The sequence below is a fragment of the Homo sapiens genome, chromosome 7, assembly GCF_000001405.40.
Source record: "Homo sapiens chromosome 7, GRCh38.p14 Primary Assembly".
NCBI lineage: Eukaryota > Metazoa > Chordata > Mammalia > Primates > Hominidae > Homo > Homo sapiens.
Window position 1 is genome coordinate 140,542,342 of NC_000007.14, and position 26,572 is coordinate 140,568,913.

Consider the following 26,572-nt stretch of genomic DNA (forward strand, 5'->3'; position numbering starts at 1 on the left):
GGGGGTGGCCTCCTATGGGGCACTGAGTTTGTGTGTGTGATGGGAGGGGATTTGCTTTAACGGTGAGGAGGGATGCCCTCACGATGGTCTGTCCTCTTGAGCATGGCCCTGCAGCCTTCTGTGAGCTGGCCTCTGTCCACCACTGCCGGCTCATCTCTCCCTCCCCCATCTTCCTCTCTCTGGGCCAGCCCTAGTGAACTACTTTGCAGTTCTTTTTCTCTCTCTTTTTTTTTTTTTTTTTTTTTTGAGTTTCACTCTTGTTGCCCAGGCTGGAGTGCAATGGCGCAATCTCAGCTCACTGTAACCTCCGCCTCCCGGGTTCAAACGATTCTTCTTCAAGCCTCCCAGGTAGCTGGGATTACAGGCGTGGACCACCACGCCCAACTAAATTCTTTTGTATTTTTAGTAGAGACGGGGTTTCACCATGTTGTTCAGGCTGGTCTTGACCTTCTGACCTCAAGTGATCCACCTGCCTCGGCCTCCCAAAGTGCTGGGATTACAGTCATGAGCCACCGCGCCTGGCCTACTTTACAGTCCTGAAGGTGACAGCTAGGCCTCACCTGTCCCCATATCTATGTAGGATGGCTCCTTTTGCCTGCAATGTGCTGACTACTTGTTCTGAGTGTTGGCCCTCAGAACTCGCCTCCCTGGGAGTGAGTGCCCTCCCTCGGTCTCCAGAACTCACTGCCTCTACCTGCCTCTAATGTGGTCCTGGAGAGTCGGCTTATGTCTCTGTTACCCCACTGCACTGAGACAAGTCTGTGTTTTTCTTTTCTTTTCTTTTTTTTTTTTTTTTGAGACAAGGTCTTGTTCTGTTGCCCAGGTGGAGTGCAGTGGCATGATCATAGCTCACTGCAACCTTGAACTTCTGGGCTCAAGTGATCTTCCTACCTCAGCTTCCCTAGTAGCAGGGACTGTAGGCTCGAGCCACCATACCTGGCTAATTTTTTTTTTTTTTTTTTTTACGTTTTTTGTAGAGATGGGGGTCTTACTGTGTTGCCCAGGCTGGTCTCAAACTACTTCCCTCAAGCAGTCCTTCCACGTCAGCCTCCTAAAGTGCGGTGATTACAGGCGTGAGCCACCATGCCAGCTGTGTCTTTTCTCTGTTTTCCTACCACATAGCAGAGTGTATGACACATGGCAGAATGAGTGGAAAGCCCACCAATGCCAGGGAAGTCGCACACAGCAGTGCAAAACAGTGTGCCCCCCAGATCTCCAGTCTGAGCTGCCGACTGATTCCATCCTTTATTTTATTTTATTTTTTATTTTTTGAGATGGAGTCTCGCTCTGTCACCAGGCTGGAGTGCAGTGGCATGATCTCGGCTCACTGCAACCTCTGCCTCCTGGGTTCAAGCAATTCTCCTGCCTCAGCCTCTTGAGTAGCTGGGACTACAGGCACACGCCACCATGCCCAGCTAATTTTTGTATTTTTAGCAGAGACGGAGTTTCACCATGTTGGCCAGGATGGTCTCAATCTCTTGACCTTGTGATCCACCCGCCTCGGCCTCCCAAAGTGCTGGGATTACAAGTGTGAGCCACTGCGCCTGGCCTATTTTATTTTTATTTTTGAGATGGAATGTCATTCTGTTGCTCAGGCTGGAGTGCAATGGTGCGATCTCAGCTCACTGCAGCCTCTGCCTCCTGGGTTCAAGCGATTCTTGTACCTCAGCCTCTCAAGTAGCTGGTGTTACAAGCACGAGCCACCATGACTGGCTGATTTTTGTATCTTTAGTAGAGACTGAGTTTCATCATGTTGGCCAGGCTGGTCTTGAACTCCTGACCTCAGGTGATCCGCCTGCCTCGGCCTCCCGAAGTGCTAGGATTACAGGCATGAGCCACCGTGCCTGGCCATCCTTTATTTGTGGGGGCAGGAGGGAAGGTCTCCCTCTGTTGCCCAAGCTGGAGTGCAGTGGTGAGATCTCAGCTCACTGCAATGTCCACCTCCCAGGTTCAATCGATTCCCGTGCCTCAGCCTCCCAAGTAGCTGGGATAACAAGCGTGGGCCACCATGGCTGGCTAATTTTTCTATTTTTAGTAGAGACGGAGTTTCACCATGTTGCACAGGCTGGCCTCGAACTCCTGGTCTCAAGTGATCCACCCACCTCAGCCTCTCAAAGTGCTGAGATTACAGGTGTGAGTCACCGCGCCCAGCCTATTCCATCCTTATCTCAGAAGGGCTTACTCTTCAATGCTAGGCGGTCACCTGCTCTACAGACTAGAGGGTCCAAGAGCGACTGTCATTCAAACGCTTTAGCAGAAGTAGCCAAGGCGGGTACCTGAGCTTGTCTGCAATGAAGATGACCCTCCTCTCCAGAAGCAGGGAGGCAAACACACAGACCAGGTGGCGGACGCTGAGGGAGGAGAAGAGAGACTCAAAGTCCACGTGCTCGAGCCGGGAGTCCAGCGGGCGGCACAGTTCGATCACCTGCCAGGGAACAGGAGCAGCCATGAAGGAGGGGCCCAGCTACGCAGCCAGGCCTCTCACGGGTGTCGCAGTCCCAGGGCTCTGAGGTCCTCATCAGGGGTGACCCACTGGTGGGGGAAAAGGGAAAGAAAAAAAGCAAAACAAAAGGATTGGGGGAAAAGAAAGATGCCAGAAGACGGGGGGCGGAGGAGGTAGCTTTGGTAGGGAAGCAAGCGTCTCACACTCAGCTATGAGACTGAGGACAGTGTGGACGAACGGGATGACAGAGGATGGCAAAATCAATGGTTTCCGGCCCCACATGGTTGCGGGGCTCTCTCTGGCAACAGCATATCTGTACTCCCCATGGAGAGTTTATAGGACTTTTGAAAACGGTTCTGTCCCTGAGAGTCCCAGTGGAGAGCATCTCTGTCTCTTGAGGAACTGTTACCTGCTAGGTGGAAATCCCAGACTAGCATGGAACGCCCAGCAGGCCTGAGCAGCACTTCGGAGACTCGCTGCCACCTCAAGAAGGTGTTTTTTAGGTAACCCTGACACCATCCCACTCCATTTCTGATGATATGTGCTTTCAGCTTTTGTGCTTTGTGTCTATATCTTCTTTTTTTGAGATGGAGTCTTACTCTGTTGCCCAGGCTGGAGTGCAGTGGTGCAGTCTTGGCTTATTGCAGCCTCCGCCTCCCAGGTTTGAGCGATTCTCCTGCCTCAGCTTCCCAAGTAGCTGAGATTACAGGTGCCCGCCACCATGCCTGGCTAATTTTTGTATTTTTAGTAGAGACAGGGTTCCACCATGTTGGCCAGGCTGGTCTCGAACTCCTGACTCCAAGTGATCCACCTGCCTCGGCCTCCCAAAGGGAGGGATTACAGGCATGCTGGGATTACAGGTGTGAGCCACCGTGTACCCAGCCTGTGTGTATATCTTCTTATTCTGCACTTGTTGAAATGTTCCTGAATTCCCTCAAGTTGGTACCCATGTGCATGTTTTTTTCTCTTTAAATAGCTGCCTCCCTCCCGGTGAGCAGAGAGTGGATTTCACTCTTAGTGTTGCACCGCCTGGTGCTGCCCCAACGGTGAGGCTTCCTCTCCAGTAACCTCCCTGCTACATCCCCATGGCCAAGCCACTGCATCTGGTATGGGATGGTTTCAGGTTCTCTAGCAACACAGAGATTGCTGTTCTCTCTGCTGGGAAACTAGGTTGTTCCAGAGTGTTCCAGGCCTATTCTCCTCCCTCCTTTGTTTCCAGAGGTGATCTGGTTTGCTGAGGGTCTCTGAAACTGAAGACTCAAGGCTAAATGGGGTCCTTCTTCTGATGTCCACCAAGCCATGCAAAGGGGGTGGGAGGGATGAAAACAAACTCCTTCATAAAATCCCAGCCCAGGCTGGGCGCGGTGGCTCACGCCTGTAATCCTAGCACTTTGGGAGGCTGAGGCGGGTGGATAATGAGGTCAGGAGTTTGAGACCATCCTGGCCAACATGGTGAAACTCCGTCTGTACTAAAAATACAAAAATTAGCCGGGTGTGGCAGCAGGCACCTGTAGTCTCAGCTACTTGGGAGGCTGAGGCAACAGAATAGCTTGAACCTGGGAGGCAGAGGTTGCAGTGAGCCGAGATCACACCACTGCACTCCAGCCTGGGCGACAGTGCAAGACTTTGTCTCAAAAACAAAAACAAAAAATAAAGTTATAGAGGTGATACAGACTTGAAATGTAAATAGGTTTCAATAAAATGTATGAAAGAAAACGGGCTATTAAAAGAAATTAAGGATGTTCAGTGCAGATCCCTAACCTGAGGCCAACATCATGCAAAGGAACACCCCAGCTGCCATAGCATAGTTCTTGGGCTTGCCGCATTGGGCAGAGTCCTAGGCTGGATGGATTGAGGGTGGAACTCATGATGAGTGATCTGGGCCAGCTCTAGGGGTGGGGAGAAGACACCAAGGAATTGGACTGCTCACTGAAAGGCAGCCCCTCTGAGCACGGAGACTCGGCTGTCTGGGCCACTGCCTCCCCAGGGAGAAGGAAGGAGTCTGACAACTCACCTCAGTTCCTGAACCTGGCAGGAAGTTCTTGACAAGGATGGTTTTGCCCAGGGCTGGGAAAGGGGCTTCCATGACACTTCTCATGAGTGGCTGAACCAGGGCAGGAGAGATGCCTCGTCTTTTTTCCACCTCATCCAAGATCTGCAAGGGTCAGAAAAGCAGCTTAGCTATTCCGAAGCCAAAGCACCAAGGTGGAGCTCAGTTCTAGGTGAAGTGGGCCTGCCATGGTGACTCAAGAATTATGGGGAAGCCCTGCTTTCCCCATGAGGCCAAAACAGGCCCTTTGACCCTACACATGATTGTCCCCAATTCTTCTCTCCTCTGTGTGTCCACACCCTTTGCCATGCAATGTTGCAGCTCCTACTCAGGAGTGAAGTCCACTTCCTTGCCCCTTTGACCTAGGGTTTGGCCATGTGACAGGTTGTACTAATACATGCATTCTCAATGAAGGTAATATAACCCCAAGGGGGTAAGAACTGGTTTTTGGGAGGAATGAAAAAACTTAGATATTACAGTGGTTTGTAGCCCTCTAAGAGGTCACAGTACATAAACAGATATACAGTTTATTTATGAAATGAAAATGTCATGGGAGGGGATAGCCATCATGAAAATACAAATCAAAAGCACCATGAGATACCACTTCACACCCGTTAGGATGACTCTAATAAAAAGATGGATAAGAACAAGTGTTGACAAGGACATGGAGAAATTAGAAATCTCATACACTGCTGGTAGGAATGTAAAATAGTGAAGCTACTCTGGAGAACAGTCTGGTAGTTCCTCAAAAGGTTAAACATAGAGTTACCATATGACCCAGCACATAGCACTCCTAGGTACCTACCCAAAAGAAGTGAAAACATATATGTTCACATAAAAATTTGTACATGATTGTCTGTAGCGGCATTATTCATAATAGCCACAACACAGAAGAAACTTAAATGTCCATTAACTGATGAAGTGATAAACAAAATGCACTATATCCATATAATGGAATATTATTTGGCCATCAAAGTGCTGATACATGCTATAACTTGGATGACTCTTGAAAACATTATGCTAAATGAAAGAAGCTAGTCATAAAAGGCCATCTAATGTATGATTCCACTTAGATGAAATGTCCAGAATAGAAAAATCCAGAGAGACAGAAAGTGGATTGGAGGTTGCTTAGAGTTAGGGAGTGGCGGCTAATAGGTATAGGGTGTTTTGTTGGGGTGATGAAAATGCTCTAAAATTGTGGTGATGGTTGTATAACTCTGTGAATATGCTGAAAGCCACTGAACTGTATATATTTTTTATTTTTTATTATTTTAGAGATGGGAGTCTTGCTAGGTCGCCCAGGCTTGCCTTCAACTTCTGGGCTCAAGTGTCCTCCTATGTCAGCCTCCTGAGTAGCTGAGACTACAGGCGCTTGCCACTGTGCTCAGCAAATTGTGTACTTTAAATGAATGAATTGCATGGTATGTGAATTATATCTTAATAAAGCTACTACTAAAAAACTAAAAAAAAAAAAAAAAATTCCAAACTCTCCACAATCTAATTGTAAATTGAAGAGTCTAAATTAAAATGCCGTTTATGAAGCTGGGTGAGATGGCACACACCTGTAATCCCAGCTACTTGGAAGGCTGAGGCAGGAGAATTGCTTGAGCCCAGGAATTTGAGGCTGCAATGAGCTATGATCATGCCACCACACTCCAGCCTGGGCAACATAGTGAGACCCAGTCTCTATTTTTAAAAACTGCCATTTATAAAAGTATCACATGTAGCTATTGAGCCCTTGAAATATGGCTAGTCTGAATTCAGAGGTTTTTTTACTTTATTTTTTATTTTTTTTTGAGACAGAGTTTCGCTCTTGTTGCCCAGGCTGGGGTGCAGTGGCATGATCTCGGCTCACTGCAACCTCTGCCTCCTGGGTTCAAGCAATTCTCCTGCCTCAGCCTCCCGAGTAGCTGGGATTACAGGCATGCACCACCACGCCTGGCTAATTTTGTAGTTTTAGTAGAGACGGGGTTTCTCCATGTTGGTTAGGCTGGTCTCGAACTCCCGACCTCAGGTGATCCACCCACCTCGGCTTCCCAGTGTTGGGATTACAGGCATGAGCCACTGTGCTGGCCCAGATGTATTGTTAAATGTAAAATACCAGCCGGGCATGGTGGCTCCCACCTGTAATCCCAACATTTTGGGAGGCCAAGGCTGGCGGATCACTTGAGGTCAGGAGTTTGAGACCAGCCTGCCAACACGGTGAAACCCCATCTCTACTAAAACTACAAAATTAGCCAGGCGTGGTGGCAGGCTATATTCCCAGATATATTCCCAGATACATGGGAGGCTGAAGCAGAAGAATTGCTTGAATCCAGTAGGCAGAGGTTGTGGTGGGCTGAGATCGCGCCATTGCACTCCAGCCTGGGTGACAAGAGCAAAACCATCTAAAAAAAAAAAGTGTAAAATACCAATGGAATTTCAAAATACACATTTTTTTTTTCCAGAATGAGTCTTGCTCTGTCGCCCAGGCTGGAGTGCAATGGCGCAATCTTGGCTCACTGCAACCTCTGCCTCCTAGCAAGCAATTCTCATGCCTCAGCCTCCCAAGTAGCTGGGATTACAGGCATGTGCCACCACACCCAGCTAATTCTTGTATTTTTAGTAGAGACGGAATTTTGCCATGTTGGCCAGGCTGGAACTCCTGACCTCAGGCGATCCAACCACCTCGGCCTCCCAAAGTGCTAGGATTACAGGTGTAAGCCGCCATGCCCGGCCCTCGAAATAGACAATTAATAACATAAAATATATCAATGATTTTTTTCATGTTAACTATATGCTGAAATAAAATAATATTTTGTACATATTGTGTTAAATAAAATTTATTATTAAAATTAAAAAGACAGTATGGCAGTTCCTCAAAAAACTAAATAGAATGACCATATGATCCAGCAACTCTATTTGTGGGTGTATACCCAAAAGAATTGAAGCAGGGACTTGAATAGATATTTATTTGGACACCTATGTTCCTAGCAGAATAATTCACAATGGCCACAACGTGGAAACAACCCAAATGTCCATCAATGGATAAATGGATAAATAATCAATCAATGGATAAATGGATAAATAAAATGTTGTACATACATACAGTGGAATATTATTCAGCCACAAAAGGAATGAAGTACAGATACATGCTACGACATGAGTGAACCCTGAAAATATTATGCTAAGTGAATCGAAGCCAGTCACAAAAGGACAACTGTTGATCGTTCTACCTCTGTAACATTCCTAGAATCCTGGAATTCATAAAAATAGAAAGTAGAATGGCGATGGTGAGGGGTTAGGGGAGGGGATAGGGGTGGGGTTAGGGGTGGGGTTAGGGGAGGGGGAATGGGAAGCTATTGTTTAATGGGTACAGAGTTTCTTTTTTCTTTTGAGACAGAGTTTCGCTCTTGTTGCCCAGGCTGGAGTGCAATGGCATGATTTTGGCTCACTGCAACGTCTGCCTCTCAGGTTCAAACGATTCTCCTGCCTCAGCCTCCCGAGTAGCTGGGATTACGGACGCCCACCACCACACTCACTTAATTTTTTTCTTTTTTTGAGCCTGAGTTTCGCTGTTGTTGCCCAGGCTGGAGTGCAGTGGTGCGATCTGGGCTCACTGCAACCTCTGCTTGCCAGGTTCAAGCGATTCTCCTGCCTCAGCCCCTGGCTAATTTTTGTATTTTTAGTAGAAATGGGGTTTCACCATGTTTGCCAGGCTGGTCTTGAACTCCTGACATCAGGTGATCTGCCCCTCTTAGTCTCCCAAAGTGCTGGGATTACAGGTGTGAGCCACTTCATCCAGCTTTAGCTAATTTTCGTAATTTTAGTAGAGATCGGGTTTCACCATGTTGGTCAGGCTGGTCTTGAACTAATGACCTTAGGTGATCCACACCTCGGCCTCCCAAAGTGCTGGGATTACAGGCGTGAGCCACCGCGCCTGGCCTCAATGGGTACAGAGTTTCTGTTGGGGGAGATGAAAAAGCTCTGGAGATAGATGGTGGTGATGGTTGCACAACAATGTGAGTGTAATGGCACCGAACTGTTAAAATGGTTAAGATGGTAAATTTTTTGTTATGTATATATTTTAGCACAAGAAAAAGACAATAATATGAACAAAAATAAAAAGAATTTTGGGGGAGACAGTTAGGGAAAACACACCTGAAAAGGCTGCTTAGGGGGACAGTAATGAAAAAAAAGCTTGTGGCCGGGCACAGTGGCTCATGCCTGTAATCCCAGCACTTTGGGATGCCGAGGCAAGCAGATCACCTGAGGTCAAGAGTTCGAGACCAGCCTGGCCAACATGGTGAAATCCCGTCTCTACTAAAAATACAAAAATTAGCTGGGTGTGGTGGCGGGCTCCTGTAATCTCAGCTACTCGGGAGGCTGGGAAGGAGAATCACTTGAACCTGGGAGGTGGAGGTTGCAGTGAGCCAAGATCACGCCACTGCCCTCCAGCCTGGGCGACAGAGCAAGACTCCATCTCAAAAAAAAAAAAAAAAAAAAAAAGAAAGGAAAAAGGAAAAGAAAAAAAGCCTTTGGGACACTGGGCAGAACGAGGCAGAAGCGTTGCCATGCGGGTTCTCTGGCCAGGCCTTAGGAGGCCTGCCTTCGTGTTTTGTGTGCCCTTTTGTGCCTCTGCCATTGCCACGAGAAGAGCACATGTGGGCCATCTCACTGTCTAGGAGCATGGGAGACATGTGGACCAGGCCTGCGCCCAGACTTGTAGCCTCTAGAGCAGCTAGACCAGCCTCAATCAGCCAACCCAGCCTCTTCACAATACTTGCCAAGCCCAAACCCCAGCTGACCTCACAGCTGGGAGAACAAATGATTGAATCTTGAAGCCTCTGTGGTTCACTAGACAGTATTACTATAGCAATTGTTAACTGATACCCTTTTCTTCAGAAATTCTGAGACCTGCTCTTCTTCTCCATGACTCCTTTCTGTTCTAAAGGACAATATGCATTTTGGCCATCCTTGCTCCACGCCTAGAAATAGCTCAAGTTCCTGGGATCAGTTAGCTAAAGCTCTGGTTCTGGTTCTGTCCTGAATAACTGCTGTGTGGTCTTCGGCAAGTCATTACACTGCACTCCTAAAATATCCCTGGTCAGAAAACAGACATGAAAACAAAGGACTGTGCATCACAGAAATATGTTAGCACATTTACTGGCTCCACGTCCCCTGCCCATGACAGCAGTGAAGCTTACGTGAACTTCAAAGCCTCCACTTGGAAGCTGGCCTAACTCACATGAGCTGTTTTACTTCTGGTGTTCATAAGCATTCTGACAACAACAAAGGCTATGACCTATAACCTTACTTCACATGTAAACAAATCACATGAAAGCCTGGCCTGAGCAGTAATGCCTAGTCTGCTAGACCTTGCCAATGGCCAACCCCAACATAAAGTGATGAGCACTTCTGGTGGAGGGGAGGGGAGACCTTGGCTCAGATTACACTGATAGCATTCATTTTCTTTCTTTCTTTTTCTCTCTTTTTCCCTTCTTTCATTTTCCCTTCCTTCCTTTCCCTCTCTCTCTCCCTTCCTCCCTCCCTCTCCCTCTCCTTTCCCTTCCTTCTTCTTTCTTTTTCTTTTCTTTCTTTACAGGGTCTCACTATATTGCCAAGGCTGGAGTGCACTGGTGTGAACATGACTCGCTGCAGCCTCAGCCTCCTAGGCTCAAGCAATCCTCCCACCGCTCAGCCTCCCAGGTAGCTGGAACTACAGGTGCACACTACCATGCCTGGCTAATTTTTTTGTATTTTTTGTAGAGACAGGGTTTCACCATGTTGCCTAGTCTGCTCTTGAACTCGTGGGCTCAAGCGATCCTCCCACCTTGGCCTCCCAAAGTACTAGGATTACAGCTGTGAGCCACTGCGCCTGGCCTTCTTTTGTGTTTTATTTTTTAATTAGAGACAGGGTCTTGCTAGTTTTCCCAGGCTGGAGTGCAGTGATACGATCACAGCTCACCACAGCCTCGAACTCTTGGGCTCAAGTGATCTACTGGCCTCAGCCTCCTGACCAGGCATTAATTCTTTCTAACAGATTTACAGAGAAGTACAAGTTCTACCATGGGAAGAGATTGTACTATGTTTGTATAATTCAGGTTTCCTCTGAGTTTAGGTGGAGGGTGGGCAGGAGGAAGGCTTTTTTATAGAAATGCTTTTAGGGGTGAAGGGGTGGGTTGCCCCTCCACACCTGTTGGTGTTTCTCGTTAGGTGGAATGAGAGACTTGGAAAAGAAAAAGACACAGAGACAAAGTATAGAGAAAGAAATAAGGGGACCCAGGGAACCAGCGTTCAGCATATGGAGGATCCCGCCAGCCTCTGAGTTCCCTTAGTATTTATTGATCATTCGTGGGCGTTTCTCCGAGAGGGGGATGTGTCAGGGTCACAAGACAATAGTGGGGAGAGGGTCAGCAGACAAACACGTGAACAAAGGTCTTTGCATCATAGACAAGGTAAAGAATAAAGTGCTGTGCTTTTAGATATGCATACACATAAACATCTCAATGCTTTACAAAGCAGTATTGCATGTTCCACCTCCAGCCCTAAGGCGGTTTTTCCCTATCTCAGTAGATCGAACGTACAATCGGGTTTTATACCGAGACATTCCATTGCGCAGGCACGGCAGGAGACAGATGCATTCCTCTTGTCTCAACTGCAAAGAGGCATTCCTTCCTCTTATACTAATGCTCCTCAGCACAGACCCTTTATGGGTGTCGGGCTGGGGGACGGTCAGGTCTTTCCATTCCCAGGAGGCCATATTTCAGACTATCCCATGAGGAGAAATCTTGGACAATACCTGGCTTTCCTAGGCAGAGGTCCCTGCGGCCTTCCGCAGTGTTTGTGTCCCTGGGTACTTGAGATTAGGGATTGGTGATGACTCTTAACGAGCATGCTGCCTTCAAGCATCTGTTTAACAAAGCACATCTTGCACCGCCCTTAATCCATTTAACCCTGAGTGGACACAGCACGTTTCAGAGAGCACGGCGTTGGGGGTAAGGTTATAGATTAACAGCATCTCAAGGCAGAAGAATTTTTCTTAGTACAGAACAAAATGGAGTCTCCTATGTCTACTTCTTTCTACACAGACACAGTAACAGTCTGATCTCTCTTTCTTTTCCCCACAAGGGGCCGGATGCAGTGGCTTGTGCCTGTAATCCCAGCACTTAGGGAGGCCGAGGTGGGCGGATTACGAGGTCAGGAGATCAAGACCATCCTGGCCAACATGGTGAAACCCCGTCTCTACTAAAAATACAAAAATTAGCCGGGTGTGGTGGCATGTGCCTGTAGTCCCAGCTACTCAGGAGGCTGAGGCAGGAGAATTGCTTGAACCCAGGAGGCAGAGGTTGCAGTGAGCCGAGGTCGCACCCTTGCACTCCAGCCTGGCGACAGAACGAGACTCCGTCTCAAAAAAAAAAAATGCTTTTAGGGAGTACTGCTTTAACATTCATGGACCGTAGGTGCAGGAACTTCAATTCCCCAAAAGAAAGCTCAGACAGAGCTATATACTCAAGAAGGATTGAAAATAAATTTATGAATTAGGCCAGACGCGGTGGCTCACGCCTATAATCCCAGCACTTTGGGAGGCCGAGGTGGGTGGATCACTTGAGGTCAGTTTGAGACCAGCCTGGGCAATATGGTGAAACCCCATCTCTACTAAAAATACAAAATTAGCCAGGCGTGGTGGCACGCGCCTGTAATGCCAGCTACTCAGGAGGCTGTGGCACAAGAATCGCTTGAACCCGGGAGGTGTAAGTTGCAGTGAGCCGAGATCGCACCACTACACTCCGGCCTGGGTGATAGAGTGAGACTCTGTCTCAAAAAAAGAAAAAAAATTATGAATTAGACACTCATGTCTGGTTAATACAGGAAATGATGTTGGATTATACCTAGCTTTTGAGATCAGCATCATATAGGATAGTAATTCTCTCCTATATACCAATCCAGAATACCGGGGTAGATGAGCTAATTCAATACGGCAATTCCTATGCGTTCATATGTTGGCTCATTTTCCAGAAAAGAAGACCAAATTATATGAATATTTTGATAAACTTAGAGCACTATTAAAATAATTAATCCCCCCTCCACAAAACTGTTATATATACATGACACATATGTACGTGGGTACACACCTATCCATCTATTACAGTAGCCTTTTTTCACGCCAAAGCTCATATGACAAAAGGCAATTCTCAGAAGAAGAAAAATAAAACACCTGGAATATTCTGGGAGGGTCTTCCACCCCTCCCTTTCTCAACTTCAATTATCTTGCCATCCCTGCACCACACACACTTTCTGAACCTGGCTCTTCATTAACTCTTTTTTTTTTTTTTTTGAGACGGAGTCTCACTCTGTCACCCAGGCTGGAGTGCAATGGCACGATCTCGGCTCACTGCAACCTCCGCCTCCCGGGTTCAAGTGATTCTCCTGCCTCAGCTTCCTGAGTAGCTGGGGTTACAGGCGCCCGCCACCACGCCTGGCTAATTTTTTTTTTGTATTTTTAGTAGGGATGGGCTTTCACCATGCTGGCCAGGCTTGTCTCGAACTCCTGACCTCAAGTGATCCGCCCGCCTCAGACTCCCAAACTGCTGGGATTACAGGCATGAGCCACCCCGCCACCACACCGGGCCTATCAACTCTCATTTCCTGAACCAATGGTGAGAGAATAGAGGGGTGATGAGGAGAGGAGTGAAGAAATGGGAAGGGAAGTAGGTAGAGAATAAGATGATAGAAGGCCCAGGACATGGGGGTATTCCCTGGAGCCCTCTAGAGCCCTCCCGTTCCTTCCCTTCCTCTTTCTCTGAGGTCCAAGTTCTCACCCTTGAAAAGAGGCTGAAGCATCCCAGGCGGCTCACAATGCAGTAAACTTCAGGAAGGCGCTTCCCTTTGCCTCCAGGCTTTTCGGAGAGAAACACAAGGGAATTATGAGTGTTGACAACCTCAGGGAAGAAAGGAACCCACATGTTTTTTGCGAGACTATCATGTGCCAGATGTTTCCACATATCATAGCTCTGGAAAACCCAATAAAGTAAGTTGTTATCCCATTGTGTTTATTATAATGTTTGTTATAATTGTTTTGTATCCCTATATGTTTATTATAATGATAATTTCAAGTGAGAAATCATTTCTGAAGATCTTTCTGAAAACTCAGTTTTAAGCTAATTTTCAAACAAAAAAAAATCAATCTCAATACTTTTTTTGTTTTGTTTTGTTTTGTTTTGAGATGGAGTCTCACTCTGTCACCAGGCTGGAGTGCAGTGGTGTGATGTTGGCTCACTGCAACCTCCAGCTCCCAGATTCAAGCGATTCTCCTGCCTCAGCCTCCCAAGTAGCTGGGATTACAGGCTCACACCACCACGCCCCACTAATTTTTGTACTTTTAGTAGAGAAGGGGTTTCGCCATATTGGCCAGGCTGGTCTCGAACTCCTGACCTCATGATCTGCCTGCCTCCTCCTCCCAAAGTGCTGGGATTACAGGTGAGAGCCACTGCACCCTGCCCAATCTCAATACTTTTAAAAATTTTTATTTATTTATTTTTGGAGACGGAGTCTTGCTCTGTTGTCCAGACTGGAGTGCAGCGACGCGATCTCAGCTCACTGCACCCTCCACTTCCCAGGTTCAGGAGATTCTTGTGACTCAGCCTCCCGAATAGCTGGGATTACAGGCGTGTGCCACCACGCCCAGCTATTTTTTTGTATTTTTAGTAGAGATAGGGTTTCACCATGTTGGCCAGGCTGGTCTTGAACTCCTGAGCTCAGGCAACCTGCCCACCTCAGCCTCCCAAAGTGCTAGGATTACTGGTGTGAGCCTGTGCCCGACCTCAGTCTCAATACTTTAACCCTAAAGTAATTTGATCAACAAAATTATTATCTCACTTACCTTTTTCAATTATCCATGCTTTTTATTTTACTGATTAATTCAAAAAATGTTTCTTGAACACCTACTATGTGCCACGCATTATACTTGACCCTAAAGTTTTTCAGCCTATTTCAGAGACTCAAGTATATTCTCAGTGGAAAAAGATTCACCATTACTGAAGATTTTCAAAAGAATGGGCCTGAAAATGACAATTCTAAAATGCTTTAGCAGGATCATTGCACTGAAATAAGTTTCTGACTTTGAAAGGTGACTATTCTGAAGGGGACATTCTTGAATTATTTGAGTCTTCTCTCCTTAGCAACCATTCTGAATGTTCTCTCTAAGTGATCAGGGTCTGTTTGGCATGTTTTATTAGAAAAAAAAAAATTCGCTTAAAGAGAGAAAGGTCTTTTATTTGGCAGGAAAAATAATGGAGAAAGTATTTTTGTCCAGTTGCGGTGGTTCATGCCTGTAATCTCAGCACACTGGGAGGCCGAGGTGGGAGGATTACTTGAGCCCAAGAGTTCGAGACCAGCCTGGGCAACACAGCAAGATCCTGTCTCTACAAATAATTAAAAAATTAGCCATGTGTGGTGGTACATGCCTGTGGTCCCAGCTACTCGGGAGGCTGAGGCAGGAGGATCACCTGAGCTGGGGAGGTCGAGGCTGCAGTGAAACATGATCCACTGCACTCCAGCCCAGGCAGCAGAGTGAGACCCTGTCTCAAAATGAAATAAAAGTATTTTCTTTCTGATGGAAACGGACATTCCCACCTACCAATAAGACTCAGGTGAGCCCCCTCAATTCCTGTTTTTTTAATGTTTTATTTTTTAGTATATATATATATATATATATATTTTTTTTTTTTTTTTTTTTTTTTTTGAGACGGAGTTTCGCTCTGTCGCCCAGGCTGGAGTGCAGTGGCGCGATCTCGACTCACTGCAAGCTCCGCCTCCCGGGTTCACGCCATTCTCCTGCCTCAGCCTCCCGTGTAGCTGGGACTACAGGCGCGTGCCACCATGCCCGGCTAATTTTTGTATTTTTAGTAGAGATGGGGTTTCACCATGTTAGCCAGGATGGTCTCGATCTCCTGACCTCGTGATCCGCCCGTCTCGGCCTCCCAAAGTGCTGGGATTACAGGCGTGAGCCACCGCGCCCGGCCGTATATATTTTTAAAATAGAGACAGGGCCTCATTTTGTTGCCCGGGCTGGTCTCGAACTCCTGGTCTCAAGTGATCTGTCCTTCTCATACTCCCAAAGTGCTGGGTTTATAGGCATGAGCCACCATGCCAGATTTTTTCTGTGATTTTAACTATGCTGATTCACCTGCCACTCCCCCTGCTCCTTCTCCTCCTGTGCCTCATCAGGGAATCTCAGTCTCACGGGACTGGGAAGCCAGACCTGGCTCTTGCACCAGGACTAGGAAGTCCACGAGGCTCTTGCAGGCTGAAAGCAGAATGTACTCACCAGCAGTCTTCGGCAGTAACCGAACCTTCTGCTCCCATCTTCTCCAGTTAAGACAAATGAGAATGTTTCACTGTGGTTGGGAAAACACAAATGTATCATAAAGCAAAACAAAACCAAAGACACCTCATCACTCTGCAGCAAGGGGTGGCAGTGAGCAGCCATGGGACACACTGCAGGAGGCTGTAGGAAAGGCCACTCCCTGTCCCACCTGTCCCTGTCCATGCTGAGACACTGGTCACCCATAGCTTCATAGTAAATGTCAGTGAGACTGGGCTGGGCACAGTGGCTCATGCCTGTAATCCCAGCCCTTTGGGAGGCTGAGGCAGGTGGATCACTTGAGGTCAGGAGTTCGAGACCCGCCTGGCCAATAGGGTGAAACCCTGTCTCTACTAAAAATACAAAAATTAGCCAGGCATGGTGGCACATGCCTGTAATCCCAGCTACTGGGGAGGCTGAGGCAGGAGAACTGCTTGAACCTAGGAGGCAGAGGTAGCAGTGAGCCAAGATCATGCCATTACACTCCAGCCTGGGGGAAGAAGCGAGACTCTATCTCAAAAAAAAAAAAAAAAAAAAAAGTCAGTGAGACTGAGACCTAAAGTGTCGCTGTGGCCTGAGACAAAATGTGGTGCTTTGTTTCCATCCTGGGCTATCCTGTCATTTTCTCTTTTTTTTTTTTTCAAGATGGAGTCTCACTCGGTTGCCCAGGCTGGGATGCAGTGGTGTGATCTCGGCTCACCACAACCTCTGCCGCCCGGGTTCAAGCGATTCTCCTGCCCCAGCGCCTGCCACCACCATGCCTAGCTAAGGGCTCTCCCATCATTCAATCACCTGAGCTGCCCCATTGTACAAAACACAACTGTCATTTACTCTGGAGGCTAAAGAGAGGGAAGAGCCTGGGGTGCTGTCCTCAGGGAACTGAGCATGTGTGAGTGCAGTGACATCTGCTCATCTAGGGATGTGACTCGGTGAGGGAGCAGCGGAAGATGGGGACAGTTCTGTGCCCCTCTTGGAATTGCCCTGGGGCAGCTCTCTCAGGGCATGGTCTGTACAGGGCAGCCCCGGGGCTTGGACGGTCCTTAAAGACTGCTGAGCCACCCTCAAGGAACGCGGTACCCCTTAAAGACAGGACCCGCAGCCTACTGAGTTTGGCCAAATGCGGAAACATCTGATAATAAAAACACTGGTGTCTAATTACTCGGGATGAAGCAGAAATGTAAACGGATCCCAATCCAAGAAACATCTGGATAGGAGACTGAAGAGATGTTTCAGGATGAGAACGGGGAAGGGCAATGTTGCCCTAACTTTTCCCAGGCTAAGAATTATCTTCCGGGAGGCTTCTGAAACAAGTATCCCCAGATTGAGTGGGAAGCCCGGGAGGTCTGCATGCTGGGCAGGTGACTTCACCTTCAGGGAAGCTTTAAAAACACCCCTTGGGGAAAGCTCTAGGCCAGGCCCATCAGGATTACTTAACGGTGGGAATGACTCATGTGGTCTGCCACCTGTAACCCCGTCTCTAAGTCTCGCCTTAGTCTTTGGGGCTGCGAAGGGGAGAAGCCAGCTCGTACCTGGTGAACTGCTGGACAGGAACCCAATCCTTGGCATCGGGAAAACAGAACTGGGGAATGGCCTTCAGTTGGTCCTCAGCTTCTCTCATGAACTTGAAAGACCTTTCCAACTGCAGGGAGAAAGGTGAGAGAAAATTCGAGAACAAATCTCAGCATGGGAAATTGAGGCGGATGATGGTAAGGATGGCCTCTCCCACCTTTCCACATTTGTGACTGCCGCCTTAGCCTCTTCCCTTGGGAAGAGCTTGCAGCTCAGTCGGCTGGGGCATTTTCCCCCCAGTGCACTTCCAACTATAGACCTCTGGGAGAAGTTGGGAGGAAAAAATAGGATGCTTTAGAGAATGATTCTCTATGCTTGACATTCTAGAATGTAACTATTTCAGTGAATTAAAAAAACTGCCAGCAATCCTTTCCAAATAGGAGGCTCAGGAATCTGGAAGGCAGAGCCTCTAATCAGGCCTCTCTGTCTCTGGGTCCAGGCAAAGCTGTCCCTTTCGAACTCCAGGCAAAGACTGTTACAACATTCTCAGTGAATAAATCCAGTAAAACCATATTATGCTGGGAAATTCAACTAATTTCAGACAGTCATTGAGTGTTGGAACTAGAAGGAAGCGTGACACCATCCAGCCTGACATTCTTATTTCAGCAAGAAGGAAATAAGCCCCGAGGTGTGAAGTGATGTGTCCTGGTCACATGAGTTAATGTTCAAACTAGGAAGAAAAATGATCTTAATCTTTTTTTCCTCTCTCTCTCTCTTTATGATATTCTAGCACATCATACAGTATCTGACATATCAAAGACTGGATGAATGTTATCTTGTTAAAGAACAGGAGGAGTACTTTGGGAGGCCAAGGTAGGAGGATCACTTGAGGCCAGGAATTCAAAACCAGCTGGGGCAACATAGCAAGGTCCCACCTCTATGGGAAAAAAAAAAAGAACAAGGGCCGGGAGTGGTGGCTCACACCTGTAATCCCAGCACTTTGGGAAGCTGAGGTGGGTGAATCACCTGGGGTCAGGAGTTTGAGACCAGCCTGGCCAACATGGGGAGACCCCGTCTGTACTAAAAATACAAAAAAATTAGCTGGGTGTGGTGGCCGGCACCTGTAGTCCCAGCTGCTCGGGAGGCTGAGGCATGAGAACTGCTTGAACCCAGGAGGTGGAGGTTGCAGTGAGCCGAGAGCATACCACTGCACTCCAGCCTGGGCGACAGAACAAGACGCTAAGAAAAAAAAAAGGACAGGATGAATTAATAAAGTCTGATTTAGAGATGATACTAAAGTCGTGAGTTTATTTTGCTTATGAACAGAAATTTGTGATTTTTTTTCTTTCTATGTATAAATATATATTTTTTAGAGCCAGAGTCTTGCTGTGTTGCCCAGGCTGGACTTGAATTCCTGGGCTCAAGCAACCTGCTTCAGCATCCTGAGTAGCTGGGACTGCGAGTGCATACCATCACACCTAGCCAGAAATCTGTGCTTTTAAGAAGCACCCCAGATACAAGTTTGGGAAACACAAAAGAATAATTTCTAATTATTTATCTCATTATTATTCATCTTTGCTTATAAACAGGTACTTTTTCATGTGAGGAGAATTGTAGGCTTTGTTGCTGTTGTTGTTAATAGGTTTATACTTGTTAAATTTCCTTTATAAAAAGTTAAAGAAAAATACATCATGCTAAGGTTATCTTCAGTGATTTGAAATATCTCATATCTGAATATCTGAGGTTAGGAATTTATAACGTCTAACCTAAATATAATGGCTAACCTATATTTTTTCTTTCTTTCTGTTGTCTTTTTTTTTTTTTTTTTTTTTGAGACAGTCTCACTATGTCGCCCAGGCTGGAGTGCAGTGGTGTGATCTTGGCTCACTGCATGGGTTCTCTGCGTCATGGGTTCAAGTGATTCTCCTGCCTCAGCCTCCCGAGTAGCTGGGATTACAGGCATGCACCACCACACCTAGCTATTTTTTTTTTTTTTTTTGTATTTTCAGTAGAGACAGGGTTTCACCATGTTGGCCAGGCTGATCTTGAACTCCTGGCCTCAAGTGATCTGCCTGCCTCAGCCTCGCAGAATGTTGGGATTACAGGCATGAGCCACGGTGTTTGGCCCTAACCTAAATTTTTCTGTAATAATTTGCATCAATTTCTTTGTTTCCAATAGCTTGCTAGTGAGATCCACTTTATTTATTTATTTATTCTTTTGAGATGGACTCTTGCTCTGTCACCGAGGCTGGAGTGAAATGCTGCAATCTCGGCTCACTGCAACCTCCACCTCCTGGGTTCAAGTGATTCTCCTACCTCAGCCTCCCAAGTAGCTGGTATTACAGGTGCCTGCCACCACGCCTGAATAATTTTTGTATTTTTAATAGAGGCGGGGCTTCACCATGTTGGCCAGGCTGGTCTCGAACTCCTGATCTCAAGTGATCCCTGACTTGGCCTCCCAAAGTGTTGGGATTACAGGCGTGAGCCACCGCGCCCGGCCCGAGCTCCACTTTAAAACACCCTTGCAGACAATTTCTGAAGTTGGCAAGCCAGCAGTCCTGTTCACTGCTCCTGATGGTCAACAAGCCTTCCCAAGGTCACCATGTGTCAGAGAGAGGAGGGCTCTGAAGAAGAGTATCCAAAGGCACAGAGCACCAGACTGATTGTTTCCAACTTTAAAAACCACTTCCTGGCTGGGGCGTGGTGGCTCACGCCTGTAATCCCAGCACTTTGGGAGGCTGAGGCGGGCGGATCACGAGGTCTGGAGATCGAGACCATCCTGGCTAACATGGTGAAACCCCGTCTCTACTAAAAATACAAAAAAATTAGCTGGGTGTGGTGGCGGGTGCCTGTAGTCCCAGCTACTCAGGAGGCTGAGGCAGAAGAATGGCGTGAATCCGGGAGGCAGAGCTTGCAGTGAGCGGAGATCATGCCGCAGCACTCCAGCCTGGGTGACAAAGGGAGGCTCCGTCTCAAAACAAACAAACAAAACAACAACAACAAAAAAACCCGCTTCCAGTATGATTCCCCTCAGGCTAGACCAAATTTAATTGAAGCCATGGGGTGCCACTAATACTAGTGGTTAAGACAGCAATCAATCGGTAAAACACAGTCACTATTTATAGACTTAGTTGTCCTTTAGTTGTTCTTCTTCAGAATAAATAGCCACTATTTCTTTTCTATATAACAGTTCTCTCTTCCATCCACGATGACACAGATGAACCCAACTGGCCCAGGAAGTCTTTGAGTTGGTAAATCACAAGCTCAGACTGTCCCCTAAACAGTAATTTTGACTGTCCTTGCATAGTCATGCAAAGAAGCAAATACCAGCTGGGTGTAATTATAGGAAGGGGTCATTAATCACCACAGAGTGAATGACTTAAATTATAAAGAAGACCAAAGAAAGGACCAGCCAAGAATACCAAAGGGAGGAAGAATACCAAATGAGTTTCTCCACAAAGGAAACAGCATTCAGGACTGAAGAGCAGACCTCGTGGGGAAACAAGTTCCAGCCCTTTTCAACAGCCCAGTCACTACTTGCATGCACCCACCCCAGATCACACATAGGACACACACAAATACAGGCACACTTGTGCCTACCCACACGTCATCAACCTACGAGTTATCAGCGCATACATACACAGGCTCATATATGCACAGGAGCACAGTTACAGGAAGCTGCACACGGAAATTTCCCACAAATACAACTAATCACAGATGGCTGGAAAACAGCCCAGTCTCCCTGAACTGTCAAAGATAAATATGGGATAGGAAACATTTTAATGGAACATTAGCATGCAAATAGGGGCTGTGCCTTGATTCAGGTGACTTGACAGAAGTGAGGGATAAAACCCACAAAAAAAGTTTAAAAAGAGAAGAGAGAGAAGGAGGAAAAGGGCCTTTCTACAGAGGGAGCAAGGGAGCAAAGACAAGGAGATAAAATGCCTGACATGTAAAAATGCCTGTACAAGGATGATCACCATTGCATTAAAAAAAAAAAAAAAAAAAAAAAAAAAAGCCAGGCACAGTGGATCCCAGCACTTTGGAAGGCCGAGGTAGGGAGATCGCTTGAGCTCAGGAATTCGAGGCCAGCCTGGGCAACAGAGGAAGACCTCGTCTCTACGAAAAATAAATAAATAAATAAGCTGGGCATGGTTGCATGCGCCTGTAGTCCCAGTTACTTGGGAAGATGAGGCGGGAAGGCTCACTTGAGCCCAGGAGGTTGAGGCTGCAGTGAGCTGTGATCGTGCCACTCCATGCCATCCTGGATGACAACAGCAAGACAGAGATCCTGTCTCAAAAATACACACACAGGCAGGGCATAGTGGCTCATGCCTGTAATCACAGGACTTTGGGAGGCTGAAGTGGGCGGATCATTTGAGGTCAAGAGTTTGAGACCAGTCTGACCATTATGGTGAAACCCCATCTCTACTAAAAATACAAAAATTAGTTGGGCATGGTGGTGCATGCCTGTAATCCCAGCTACTCGGGAGGCTGATGCAGGACAACTGCTTGTACCCGGGAGGTGGAGGCTTCAGTGAGCCAAGATTGCACCACTGCACTCTAGCTCAGGCAATAGAGTGAGACTGTGTCAAAAAAAAAAAAAAAAATACACACACACACACAGAAACACTGGTAGCCAGATACATTTCTAACAGAAGGGGACTGGTTACATAGAAAAATAGACTAGGGAATACTCACATATTGGAACATTGTATAACTTGAAAAATGATGTTTTAGAATTTTTATTAAATATGCTTATAAATAATGAGAGGTTTACAAAAGAGTACACGCAGCACGATACAAAAATTCTGCAGTGTATAATTCCAGTTTTGTAAGAACATTACACCATTAGAAAAGACTGGAAGAAAAAGAAAATGTTAACAGTGACGGTCTCTGTGTGGTGGGATTACTAGTGATTTCTTTCCTAATACATTTCTGGATCAGTTTCCTTTTAAACAGTGAATGTGCAACTTTACTCTAGAAAAAAAATTTAATGTGGGTGACTCCAGGCTGGAAACAATAATCATTTGATCATTATGGTGAGTCATTAATTAACTAACTCATGAATTAATGCTTCCTTGATTCCTACAACACTGATTAAGCATTGCCACGTGAACAGCATTGTGCTAGGCCCCAAGGCAATGAACAGGATAGCAGGACAGCCCTTCACGCCTCAGTGATCTCTGTTGTGAGTCAGTGTGAGCATACCCAGTGGCCTCTCTTACCCATGGGCAGCCCCCGGCAAAAAAAAATCTGGGCATACCTGTAGTAGTGGGGTGTCAGGAGCTCATTCCTTAGAGGTGTGATAGCTAGAGGAAGGTGAGTGTCACCTTTGGAAGGCCGGTGCCTATGGTTTACTTCAATCTACATAATTGCTATCCTAAACTCCAAAAATAGGACTTGATTGTGGTGTTAGAGCACAGTGGGCAGGATGGAAGGAAGGCTGGCCTACAAAAGGAGGGGAGGCCTGGGGACAGCAGGATCTGGGCCTTGGTAGATGCTGGGGTTATGCCTGGGTGGTGATGGCAAAGGGAGTCCCTGAGTGGGCAAGGACAGAAGCTCCCTCCCTTCTGCCCTCCCTGAGGCATGAGTCTGTCCAGAGACCATCAGATTCTACCTGGTGAATCTTTGCATGCTTTTCTGGGGGTGGGGGGAGATGGTTATTTTATGTCCTCCTGGGAGAGTTTAAATTCCTTGAGGACAGGAGACACATTTTGTTTATCACTGTAATCCCCTAGGGCCAAGCAGAAAATTGCTTGAATGCAATATATTCTTAGTAAATTCTGGTTGAACTGAATTAGAATATGGTGGAACCTCTTTAATACTGATGTCAAAGCCTAAGAATAATTTATAAATTATTGCCATGTTGCTTCAGGCTATATTAAGTGCCATTTTATTTATTTTATTTTAGGTGCCATGATTTAACATATGGTAAAGCTGAATTCATACGGCCATGGTCCATGACATAAAAGTGTCCCAGGTGTGTGAACCACAGCGAGTCCATCCTGAGTAGGGGCTGGGTAAAATGAGGCTGAAACCTACTGGGCTGCATTCCCAGATGGTTAAAGCAGAGACAGGAGGTCGGCACAAAATACACGTCATAAAGACCTTGCTGATAAAACAGGTTGCAGTAAAGAAGCCGGCCAAAACCCACCAAAACCAAGATGGTGATGAGAGTGACCTCTGGTAGTCCTCACTGCTACACTCCCACCAGCATCATGACAGTTTACAGACGCCATGGCAACATTAGGAAATTATCCCATATGATCTAAAAAGGGGAGGCATGAATAATCCACCCCTTGTTTAGCATATAATCAAGAAATAACCACAAAAATGGGCAACCAGCAGCCCTCAGGGCTGTTCTGTCTATGGAGTAGCCATTCTTTCATTCCTTTACTTTTTGCAATCTCTGCTCACTGCAAGCTCTGCCTCCTGAGTTCAAGCGATTCTACAGCCTCAGCCTCCTGAGTAGCTGGGATTATAGGCGCCTGCCACCACGCCCAGCTAATTTTTGTATTTTTAGTAGAGAGTGGGTTTTGCCATGTTGGCCAGGCTGGTCTCAAACTCCTGACCTCAAGTGATCCGCCCACTTCGGCCTCCCAAAGTACTGGGATTACAGGTGTGAGTCACCGCGCCTGGCCTCCTTTACATTCTTAATAAATTTGCTTTCATTTTACCCTGCTGACTCGCCCTGAATTCTTTCTTGTGTGAGATCCAAGAACCCTCTCTAGAGGTCTGGATTGAGATCCCCTGCCTGTAACAAAAGGAAGGGACATACACAAAGATGCACAGCACACAAGCAAAGCAGAAGTTCAGCATAGACACAAGTATGATGCTGCTTAGGGAGACTTGGGGCTTCAGGGGAAAGAGACTTCTAGGCTAGGTTAGGAAGAGATGTGGCTGGCTGGATAAGGAGATGGAAGGAAAGGGCAAAGAGGATGGCACGGTCAGCACAGGGACCACAGCAAGTGAGAAAGCATTTCTGGCCATACTATTTTTTTTTTTTTTTTTTTTGAGACGGAGTTTTGCTCTGTCGCCCAGGCCGGAGTGCAGTGGCGTGATCTTGGCTCACTGCAACCTCCATCTCCTGGGTTCAAGCGATTCTCCTGTCTCAGCCTGAGTAGCTGGGACTGCAGGTGTGCGCCACCATGCATGGCTAATTTTTGTATTTGTCTGGCCAAACTTTTTAAGTCCCTGAATCTCTCCTTTCTGGGACCTCCCAAATTCTCTAGCAGCAGCATTTTTTTTTCATCTGATATACCCTAATTAGGACCCATTTTCAAGATTCTAGATGCTAGGTGTTCCTCAGACTCCCACACCTCCCTCAATTCATGAGTCCCAACAAGGTGATGGTTAGAACCCTGGCAGGCCACAGGGACCTGGCCACCCTGTTACCTTCAGAGGGAACTGTTGGGTGAGTTCTGGCACGTAGGCAGCCCCGGCCTGCTTCTTGTGCAAAGACACAACCACAAAGTACTCGAAGAGCTGCCTCTCCTGGTACTCGATGAGTTCCCGGGCAAGTGATGGGTACCGAGGCGCCTGCTTCAGCCGGGACTTCACGTTGACCAGGCGCTGGCTGTGAGCTGGGTGAGGGAGGGAGAGAGAAAGAGAGAAAGAGAGAGAGAGAGAGAGAGAGAGAGAGAGAGAGAGAGAGACAGAGTGAGCAAAGAGCCTGAAATGACCATGAGTCCATGTGGAATTGTGCCGAGCTGCAATAGGTTATGTAATTATCAGCTCAAGTACTTTTTTCTAATCCCCAAAGTGTTTCTGTGTCTAACAAATTAGTAGGAAACTCTTTATTTGGGATCTCTGCCAAAGTTCTGGGAGAACCAACATTCAGTTGGCTACCAAACCAATCAGGGTGCAGGAGCCTGGCTCTGCTCTGCCATGGTTTTGCTGTCTGGACTCTGGGCAGAGGCTGAAGATGTCCTTGCCTTCATCTGTCTGATGAGATGGGGACAGTGACTCCTCCCCTCACCCATTTCCCTCGTCTTTTGGTTGGTGTGATGTGACAGAATCCAGACTATAGGGCTTTTGGAGCTGGGAGCTTTGTAAACATCCCTTGTGACTCAACTGGCAGAGATCCCACTAACTCAGGAACTCCTGTCCACCTCCCCTCCTGCCACTAACTCTGCAATGAAATGGCCTTGCTTCATTCTAGAGGTGAGTCCGGGAGCAGCTGGGTGTCAGAGGTGAATGCAGCAGGGTCACTGAGTGGACAGGTCCCTGTCACCTCGTTCAGCAATCTGGACTTGCTTTCTTTTTTTTGAGATAGAGTCTCACTCTGTTGCCCAGGCTGGAGTGCAATGGCGCAATCTCAGCTCACTGCAACCTCCGCCTCCCGGGTTCAAGTGATACTCCTCCCTCAGCCTCCTGAGTATCTGGGATTACAGGCGCCTGCCACCACACCTGGCTAATTTTTCATATTTTTAGTAGAGACGAGGTTTCACTATGTTGGCCAGGCTGGTCTTGAACTCCCGACCTTGTGATCCACCCGCCTCGGCCTCCTAAAGTGCTGGGATTACAGGCGTGAGCCACCAAGCCCGGCCCCTGGACTTGCTTTCTTTGGCTTCTCCCTGGGGTCTGAAAAATTGCAGAAAACTCACTAAAGCCTTGGCCTAGACTATTTAATTTTAGACCCATAGGGACCAATTATTTCAACAACTTCATCAGACAGATGAACTAGAGGCCCTGGATCTTAAGTGATTTCCTCCAGATCACACAGTAATTTGAGCAGAAGTGGGCAGAAGCTCCAGGTCTCTGGAGGCTTAGGGCTGCAGTGTCAAGCCTTGAAGTGTGGAAAACCCTCAGGACATAGGGAGAGGCATGGGAGCAGGGGTCGCTGCCGTTACTGCAGCCACCCTGGCTCTCAGCAACTGTAGTGCCATTTTGATCATGCCCATGACGGACCGGCTCTGGAGCACCCTGTGGCCCCACTGTCTCCCGAGATGTCCACGCCTTGCCAAGCAAGCTCCGGCAGGACGCTTCTGTCCCTCATACTAAGGAGGAGGGGCCACCTTTGCAGCTTCCAAGTCACCTGCCTGAGTCCTGCACAGTAGTGGCTCTCCTCACCTTTCAGCTTCTCCTCTGTGTCACTGTCAGACTCACTGTTCTCATCTGTCACTAGAAGAAAAGAACAAGGAAGAAAATTGCAAATGTGAGTTCTTCTCATGTAGGAAACTCTTTCTATGTGGTAGCACAGATCAAATGTTCTAATTCAGAG

At 47.2% G+C, this 26,572-nt stretch overlaps 1 protein-coding gene across 5 annotated transcripts in view, besides 3 other annotated features; it reads right to left on the reverse strand.

The window, feature by feature from the left end:
* The window catches only part of DENND2A (DENN domain containing 2A), a 123,042-nt gene that overhangs the window by 23,923 nt on the left and 72,547 nt on the right, over window positions 1–26,572 (reverse strand). For 4 of the 5 annotated variants that reach the window (NR_134477.1, NM_001318052.2, NM_015689.5 and 1 more), the window contains 7 exons: window positions 26,422–26,472; window positions 24,745–24,932; window positions 17,367–17,476; window positions 15,802–15,871; window positions 13,295–13,372; window positions 4,458–4,598; window positions 2,277–2,425 (listed from right to left, as the gene is read on the reverse strand). Coding sequence is in view for 4 of the 5 variants with exons in the window: in NM_001318052.2 (NP_001304981.1) it covers window positions 2,277–2,425; window positions 4,458–4,598; window positions 13,295–13,372; window positions 15,802–15,871; window positions 17,367–17,476; window positions 24,745–24,932; window positions 26,422–26,472 (787 nt within the window). In the remaining variant the exon portion in view is untranslated. Of the gene's footprint in view, window positions 1–1,226; window positions 2,426–4,457; window positions 4,599–13,294; window positions 13,373–15,801; window positions 15,872–17,366; window positions 17,477–24,744; window positions 24,933–26,421; window positions 26,473–26,572 lie in introns of those variants that run through there. The other variant, NM_001318053.2, reaches the window with a different exon arrangement.
* Window positions 2,364–2,864: an enhancer, noted in NCBI's record as "H3K27ac hESC enhancer chr7:140244505-140245005 (GRCh37/hg19 assembly coordinates)". NCBI's record gives its function as "activates a minimal SCP1, AML or CMV promoter by ChIP-STARR-seq in naive H9 embryonic stem cells {active_cell/tissue: H9 hESC(naive)}" and the evidence as "EXISTENCE:reporter gene assay evidence [ECO:0000049][PMID:30033119]".
* Window positions 10,996–11,726: an enhancer, noted in NCBI's record as "NANOG-H3K27ac-H3K4me1 hESC enhancer chr7:140253137-140253867 (GRCh37/hg19 assembly coordinates)". NCBI's record gives its function as "activates a minimal SCP1, AML or CMV promoter by ChIP-STARR-seq in naive H9 embryonic stem cells {active_cell/tissue: H9 hESC(naive)}" and the evidence as "EXISTENCE:reporter gene assay evidence [ECO:0000049][PMID:30033119]".
* Window positions 12,980–13,480: an enhancer, noted in NCBI's record as "H3K27ac hESC enhancer chr7:140255121-140255621 (GRCh37/hg19 assembly coordinates)". NCBI's record gives its function as "activates a minimal SCP1, AML or CMV promoter by ChIP-STARR-seq in primed H9 embryonic stem cells {active_cell/tissue: H9 hESC(primed)}" and the evidence as "EXISTENCE:reporter gene assay evidence [ECO:0000049][PMID:30033119]".